General features: G+C 32.0%; 1 protein-coding gene across 6 annotated transcripts in view; it reads right to left on the reverse strand.

Moving 5' to 3' along the window:
* Window positions 1–8,719, reverse strand: part of TTC21B (tetratricopeptide repeat domain 21B) — an 80,415-nt gene that overhangs the window by 51,529 nt on the left and 20,167 nt on the right. For 5 of the 6 annotated variants that reach the window (NM_024753.5, XM_011511871.4, XM_017004967.2 and 2 more), the window contains 5 exons: window positions 8,083–8,167; window positions 6,868–6,966; window positions 5,282–5,474; window positions 4,760–4,857; window positions 4,245–4,445 (listed from right to left, as the gene is read on the reverse strand). In NM_024753.5, coding sequence (NP_079029.3) covers window positions 4,245–4,445; window positions 4,760–4,857; window positions 5,282–5,474; window positions 6,868–6,966; window positions 8,083–8,167 — 676 coding nt within the window. Of the gene's footprint in view, window positions 1–4,244; window positions 4,446–4,759; window positions 4,858–5,281; window positions 5,475–6,867; window positions 6,967–8,082; window positions 8,168–8,476; window positions 8,570–8,719 lie in introns of all 6 variants that reach the window. The other variant, XM_047445870.1, reaches the window with a different exon arrangement.

Genomic DNA, 8,719 nt, shown 5'->3' on the forward strand with positions numbered 1-8,719 from the left:
TTGTTCAGCAAAATAATTATGAAACTATTATACAATTCTAAATGGATAACATATCAAGTGGGTATTATCTATTCAAAAGTTTTATCAGAGAAATATATCTGTTAAAGGAAAGATAACTGAGAGGTACAGTTTCTTGCTAGAACTGACAGAGTCAAGGCAGTAAGTGTTCGAATTCTAGATTTGCCTTGTGATTTGCTCAATTCAATTACTTTCATTATCCCCTAGAGTATTGTAAACCAGTTTTTTAAAGAATTCAGATTTCCCCCAGTGGTAAACAGAAGGTAGAACACTCACTATGCTAAACTAAATGTCTCATACCTTTACATTCCCCACTCTTCATCCCGGCATGTTTTAGACCCTCAAAGTTTTCCTTTCAATTAATAATGAGTATGATAATTAAAGTGATACTAGAACACTACTTTATTCTTTTCACTGTTTCTTCTTCTTATAATGGCTGTCTACCCAACCAACTTTTATCCAATGGTCATCCAATCACAATTTAGTAATGTGATATCAGAATTTAAATATAAAATGTTCATTCCTCCTGCTTTGCCTTACTAAGGCTGTTTCTTTATGTAAGGATGATCCTCTCCACCCCAAGCCCCCTGACACATAAAGCTCTTCAATTGGACTGTGCCTTCTTATGGAAAATTACTCCTATAATGAGCCATTATTACCAACAAGAAAGTGCTACAACTTACTTATGTTGACACACACAATATATACGCTCAAAAAGATAATCAGAATATGACTATTATTGCCTAGAATACTTCAACTTCTTTATCATATATAATCTATATAATAAAATTTGGCACTGTATAATACCCATACAGTTCTACTGGTAGTTTCATATTTAGTTTTCCTTCTTTTATAGGCCTACGGGTTTTTATGTGTCTTGAAGATAAGATTTTTATGCTTCTTTGCACGGTAATAGATACAGAGCAAACAGTTTAAAAATATCTGTTTTTTTCAGCCTAAGTAAAAATAGTGAAAGTGTAAGTGATGGTGAGGTTATGATAATGTTCTTTGTCACCTGCTAAGAATGAGTTATTGAGAACAACCATCATTTTCACTGCAAACAATTTCAATGTACAATCATAGAAAAAATAGTTATGCAGACAATCTTTAAGATATCGTTTGTTCAATTAAAATTCTAAACAAAATTATGTCTATAAAACGGTCAAAGAAGTAGGAACAGAGCTAAAGAGACAATTCTGCCTTTCTGATATTTCCCTATGAAAACAGTATCACATATGCTGATTACTTTCTATCATGCTGGTAAAGGAAAACAGAATTTCCTGGTAAAGGAAAATAGGATGTCCATTTGAACTAGAGGCCCAACTACCACTTAATGCATGATTTCTTGTTCTATCTACAGTTTATTCTCAGCACATCTGATAGAGAAATCCATTAAAACATTGAGTTAAAATGTTGACTTGGATCATGCTGGAAGCCTTTTGGTGACTCCCCATTGTACCCCATTGTACTCAGAATTAAGGCCAAAGGAGTTATAAGAACTGCTATGGCCCTACCTGGGCTGGTCTCCTGTGGGATGACCTCATCTCTGACTACTCTCCTCCTCCTCACCCTGCCCCAGCCACATTTGTCTCCTCGTGTCCCTTTGGGCTTCTGCACCAGCTGCTCCCATTGTCTGAAACACTCTACCATATTTTCACATGTTCTGTGATGGTTAATACTGTCAACTTGATTGTACTGAAGGATGCAAAGTCTTGATCCTGGGTGTGTCTGTGAGGATGTTGCCAAAGGAGATTAACGTTTGAGTCAAGAGGCTGAGAAAGGCAGACCCACCCTTAATTTGGGTGGGCACTGTCTAATCAGCTGCCAGCATGGCTGGAATATAAAGCAGGGAGAAAAATGTGAAAAGACTAGACAGGCTTAGCCTCCCAGTCTACATCTTTCTCCCATGCTGGATGCTTCCTGCCCTTGAACATTGGACTCCAAGTTCTTCAGCTTTGGGACTCGGACTGGCTTCTTTGCTCCTCGGCTTACAGACAGCCTATTGTGGGACACTGTGATCGTGTGAGTTAATATTCTTTAATAAACTCCCATATGTATATATGGAGTATATATATAAACTCCCATATATATATATATATATATATATATCTCCTAGTAGTTATATATATATATATGTGTATATATATATATCCTAGTAGATATATATATATATATATCCTAGTAGATATATATATATATATATCCTAGTAGATATATATATATATATATCCTAGTAGTTATATATATATATATATCCTAACAGTTATATATATATATATCCTAGTAGTTATATATATATATATCCTAGTAGTTATATATATATATATATCCTAGTAGTTATATATATATATATCCTAGTAGTTATATATATATATATCCTAGTAGTTATATATATATATTATATATTATATAATATATATATAATATATAATATATATATAATATATTTTATATATATATATATATATCCTATTTTCAAGTCTTTGTTCAGATCTTACCCTCTTCATGAGGCCTATCCTGACCACTGTATCTAAAATCGCCATCACCCAACCATGCTCTATTATTTTCTCCTGTCATTTTCTAAACATATTATACAATTGACTTAATGATATTATCTGTCTCCTCCTGTTGGAATACATGCTTCAGGGGAAAGGAATGTAGTTTGTTTTACATGGGTATTTCCCCAGCTCTAAGTAGAGTGCTAGGTACTCTATAAACATTTGTACATTTGTAGAATGAATCCTGAATACTAGATTAATACTGAAAAAAATGTATTCCAACTTCCAAGCAAGGGAAAATGGATTATGACTGGGGAGTCTGAGGTCAACCCCTGGTACAATTCTATGAGGGTTTAAGTTTAAAAAATAAATAGTAATGAAAGCCTAAAAAAGGACATGATAATCAAAAAGTCTGTATGGGTTCCCTAAGGGAAGGTCATTTTCCTTATTTCCCATGTTAACACAGTTACTGAAGCTATAGATCAGGGACAATGCTAAGAAGTTTGCTTTCAGCAATGGAACGCTTGATAGTGCCTGCTCTGATATCCCTGTGCTGAATGTGAGCTGAATATAATAAAGTTAGGATGTCTGTATCTGCTTACTATCTGTAATAAGAGTGCTGACTAATAAATCCACATCAATTTGGAAAGAAATCTCTGGTAGTACAACATAGGGTTTCATCTTCAATTATACTCAAAACTGTTAATGCTTGGAAAAGAACATTATAGTAATAGTTATCTCAGAGCTAGATAAAGCAGATGACAGATGACAATAAAGATCCATCTAAAATAGGTGACAATCATGATCCACAAGGAATATGATAACATGGAATTATGAGATGAATCTGAAAAGATAAAATTTCACAGGAATAAATGTAGAGTCCTACATTTGAGTCCAAAAGTACAACAAGTAAGAGACTGAAAGTCTTTAATTAACTGTTAATTCAACAGAGGTCATTAATGTAATGTGATTTATAAAAAGAAAGTTGGATGGACTTCCAGAATAAGGGAGGAAAAGGTCTACTCTAGTTCTTGCAGGTCAAATCCACGTTTGGAATAGTAAACTTAATGAGAGGCACAGACAAAATAAAGAATATCATCAGATTCACACACAGAATTCTCAAAACTATTTCATATAAAACATAAATGGCTGGAAACCTGGAGTTGTTTAGTGGAATGTGAAAACTAATTGCCAATATCTGAAGGTCTGTTTAATGAATGAGGAATGATCCTTGCTCTAAGCAACTGGACTTGCCCTATGTCAATCTAGGGAGCAGAAGGAGGACCAGTAAATGGTCCTTTCTTTTTTTTTTTTTTAACCAAAAGCAGAGTTTGACTTAACACAGGAAACACAGGCTAACAATCATAGTTATATGACAAGAACTTCATTTTAGTGTGTCCAGACATGGGATAGACATTGACAGTGATGTTACAGACTGGTAGCAAATATAAGGTAGGTGTCTGAATTAGATGCCTTTTAATATTTCTTTAAACTGAAGATTTTAAGATTTTATGAAATACAAATGAATATTTGCAAACCAATACTTTCAGTAGTTGACAGCAGTCATTACTAAAAACAGTCTGATTAAAAGCGATTTCAACTAACATAGGTACAAATACTACCATTTTAAGATGCCGATATAGTCTAATGCATCAAAGAAAACTTTTAAGTTCTTTCATAAAACATCAAGTAAACGCATCCTTGAAAGTAAGTCCCATAATTACTTACCTGCATTGGACAGAAGCTCAGATACTCCATAACAATTTCTAACAAGAAATCAGGATTTAGCTTTTCAAAATACTGTATGCCAAGAGGCAAACCTTCTAATTGTGAAAAGTGAGTGTCCAGGACATCATTTAACAAATTAATAACTTCTTCTTGTCGTTTATTTTTCTTCATGGCAAGAACTGCATGTAAATAGATTAATTCCTAGAAAATAAGTAGTTTTCATAAATTATTCCATTTAGTTATAAAGCCATTTATTTCCACTTAGATTTCAAATGCATATAATGTGCTACTGATATGCAATTATTTGTTCAAACTCAAGTATTAGCTTGAATAGACTTTTAGAATCATTCAGAAGAATAAAGTTTAGTTTTGAATGGAGGTAAATAAATGCAATTACATATTAAAATTAGTGTACACTAGTGCTTTACAGCCATTACAAAACAATAAGACTGATTAATAATTTCATATTTTATAAACAGCTAGCATCTACCAGCTGATAAAATAAAATACTGTACCGCAGATTTTCCAATGGATTGCTGGATTTCATTTAAAAATTCTAGCTGCTGATCTGCATCCTGTAATTGCCCTTCTATCAACTGACATTGGATAAATCCTAAAATCAAACAGCAGAAAGACAGTCAAAGTCCACACCAATTCAGGGATGCACTCTTCAAGCTAACATAACAACATTAATAAAACACCCTTTCCCCCATCACAATACTTAACGTTTTAGATTAAAAACAACAGAAAGAAAGAAAATGAAGAGTGAAAGAAAATAAAATGGGTAGCCTTGGACCTTATAAAATCATTTACTGAAGAATTCATAATTTATAGGAACCACGTTATAAAAATCTATTCTCTCAAGATATTATTTGTGAATTAAAAATTTTAAAGACATGACTTTTTCGAGTGTGGGCAGTAGAGAACAATTTAAGTTTAGAAAACCACAAAATCCATGTGTTCTTCTCTAATGGCAAGTTAAAAGCAATTGCTACTTGTATCTATATTATAAATATTTATGAAAACAGTTGTCATACCAACTAGGGCAGACACACTAGTCTCATCAAGTGTCATGGCGGTCTTATACCACTTCAGTGCCTCTTTAACTCTTCCTTGTAAAATCATTTGGTATCCAAGTTCTGTAGCAAATTCTGATTGCTGAGGGTTTAAACTAAAAGCTCTCTCAAGTAACGTTTGAATTTTTTGAAGAATAAGTTGACTACGTCCACACTAAAAAGAAAAAAAAATGATGTAAGATTTCAAAGTCTAACATTTCTACTGAGACTAAAGGATTATTTTTTCTAAATATATATATTATTTGTACTTCAAAGGAGTGATGAAAAAGAAAAAAATTAATAATTAAGGAAAAATAAAACTTTCCTATTATCTAGACAATGCATCAAGAAAGAGTTTATATTCTATCAGAACTTAATATCCTAATGAATATAATGCTTTTACAAAATAACTAGTATGAAAAGTACACTTCTAATGATGTCACTGCAAAAACATATTTTTTGAACTCCTTTTCCAAGCTGTCTCATGACTGTTTTACAGATTAAACAGGAAAACCATTATTTTATGGTTACGTGGGTATGGGGGTGTGTGTGTGTGTGTGTGTGTGTGTGTGTGTGTATAATATATGTATGCTTTTTCTTATTGAATAAAAAACTAGGACTAGGATCTGTTTTCCCCCTAAACACTAGCTATGCCATCAGTGAGAATATTTTAAAAGCTCATGCCTTAGAATCTTCTTGAAAAAAATTTCAAGAAATAGCAGTGTTGTTAGAATAAGTACATAATTTTTCAAGACAACAAACTTTAAGAGTAAAATATTTATTCAAATGTTTGAACTTATATTTTATAAGCTTAGTAAAAAACTAATTGAAATAATGTGTCTAGCACTACGGTAAGCAAAAAAGGTAAATACCTCCTTAATTCAAACTTTCGTTATAGCATGGAGTTTTCTTCCTCTAAAGTTTACACAATCTGATATCTTTGTTTTTAAATAAGAAAATTCAGTATATTCATGTCATTTAACAATTAATAATCCTTTTTTCTTTCAACTTTATGCTTGCTAATTATTTTAACCTTCTTAGTTTAATGAACTTTTCAATATTCTCATTCCTTGTATTGATTTTGAGATTCTACTGTATTTTTCTATTTCATTCTTGATTACCTTTCTTTTACTGGGAGCTTATAATAAAAACATTTCTTTCCTGTTGTTTTTTAAAAAATAAGATACCAACCATTCCCTCCACCAAAATGGTCTTTTATACACTTTAAAACTTTTTAAAAATAGTTTTAAAAAACAAAAGCTAAGAGCAATCCTGGTCATAAATCTTATGCTCTGATGAAAATAAACCACCTTCTATTTCCTTTGTCTGGAAGGCACTTCGCTATGCTTAAAAGATCAGTAAGTGGCATTTCCTCCATGAAGCCTCCATCAGGTTCTTACAGTTGGAAACCACACCTCCTCTAAACTGCCTTTCCTAGGAGTATATCATATATTTAAATACATATTTGCACTCTAGGCCATATGCTCTTCCCTGCTTCCACCTTTTCCACTTATTTTATGTCCTCTACTATAGATAACAGAGCTCTGGTACATGGTAGGCACTCTCACAGTTCTGCTGAAGGCGAGTGTAATGTTATAGAAAAGTTGAGCATTCTGTGGTTCCATGGCATCCAATGTATTTCCCAAGTTTTCCAGCTTGGTGGAAGCCTAAAACAAAAGGAACTGGTATTAACTTAAAATATACTAAGTAAAAACAACATAATACATGCACATACACACTAACAAAGCATTACCCTACTAGTATTTTAAAAGACCTTTGCTTTTATAAATTCCTCCTCCTTCAATGGATGATTATATGTTATAAAACATATTTAAGATTCTAACAAACTCAATAATTATAAATGTGTTTTAGAATGTGTTTCTTTAATACTTGTTATTGAATGGAAACCTTTGGATAGGCGAAGACACCCATAATATTCCATTAACTGTACATGCCCAGCTCCGCCTTCAATAGTTAATTCATGACACAAATGAGATACGAATGATAATGTATTTACAAGTATATGAGGTCAGCCCTTCAATTGCCTATACAGACTGGTTTATATTCAAAATATATTCTAGACTAGAAAAATCATTACAGTACTTAGTATAAGTAATTTCAATGCCTGGAAAATTTACTGAAGATTTACCCCTACTAAGATACTCCTAGCATTTACTGAAGTATCTATCAGGCACTGTCACATTAACCAATTTAACCACACTAAACAAAATGCAAATCTACTACATGTTATACTAATATTACTTCCTTCAGATTAGAGTTTGGCACTCCATGATCCAATCTACAGTCAATGTGTTCACTACTACAGAAACAGATGTGCTTTATTATGAGGTATAATGGGATTTTATCCCAAGCCCATTTAATTTTTGCAAATTCAGTTAAATTGTAAATATACTATAAATTACATTTTGCATACATACTTTCTCATATCTAGTATCACTAGTTACATTACGTATCTAGTTACATTAATCATATATATTACTACACAGGAGTTTCATACAGAAAGCCATATATACTATAATTAATGATTTAAGGGATTTTCAAGGGTAATATTAACTGTATAGTATTTTTGCTTTACCAATAGATTTCAGAAGCTGACCTCTTTGTTAAGGTATACTCTAGTAATCAACTAAAAACTACCATGATGTATATTTTAAAAGAGAACTTCAAGGCTTTAATGTATATGCACATGCACACATGGGTGTGTATGTGTAATGAAATATATTTTTTAATATAGGAAACTTAAATAATACAATGCCACTTACCTTCTCTATATCCCCCTCTCTACACACATAGTAGAGTGCCTGCATTCTCAGTGCTTCCACATTTTGGCTATCTTGGAGCAGCAACCTGCAGGAAAACAATTTAGTTAATGTCAAAATAAATTTATATATTTTCTTTTATTCGAGGGCATGAAAAGTTGGTTTGCTTGCCTCACTATTCCACTGTTCAAATAAGTAATTTTCACTAGTAAAATGTCATCTGCTTTGTGAAAATTATCAACTTTATTATTTAAACAAGTAAAAGTCTCTGGAGTTTAATTTTTAATATGTTTTTAAAAGATATGAATAGATTATACTAGTCTCATTAAATCTTGTGGCAATCCTAAATAAAATATTAGCTAACTATATACAACAGTATAGTAAAAGAATAATTCACCTTAACCAGGCTGACTTATTACAGGAATTCCGGGAATGCAAACCAGGGTCAAACATTACAATACCTACTAATGTTATTCACAACAACAGATTCCTACGTGATAAAAACAAATGAGAAAATATTACATTAAAAAATCTTATTAATAAATGGAACAAAAACCAAAAAGAAAAACATAACAGGCATAAACTTAAGAAATGTGCAAAAGCTATAAAATTCCTATGAAACTGTACTCAGGGACATTTT

This window comes from Homo sapiens, chromosome 2 (genome assembly GCF_000001405.40).
Source record: "Homo sapiens chromosome 2, GRCh38.p14 Primary Assembly".
Lineage (NCBI taxonomy): Eukaryota > Metazoa > Chordata > Mammalia > Primates > Hominidae > Homo > Homo sapiens.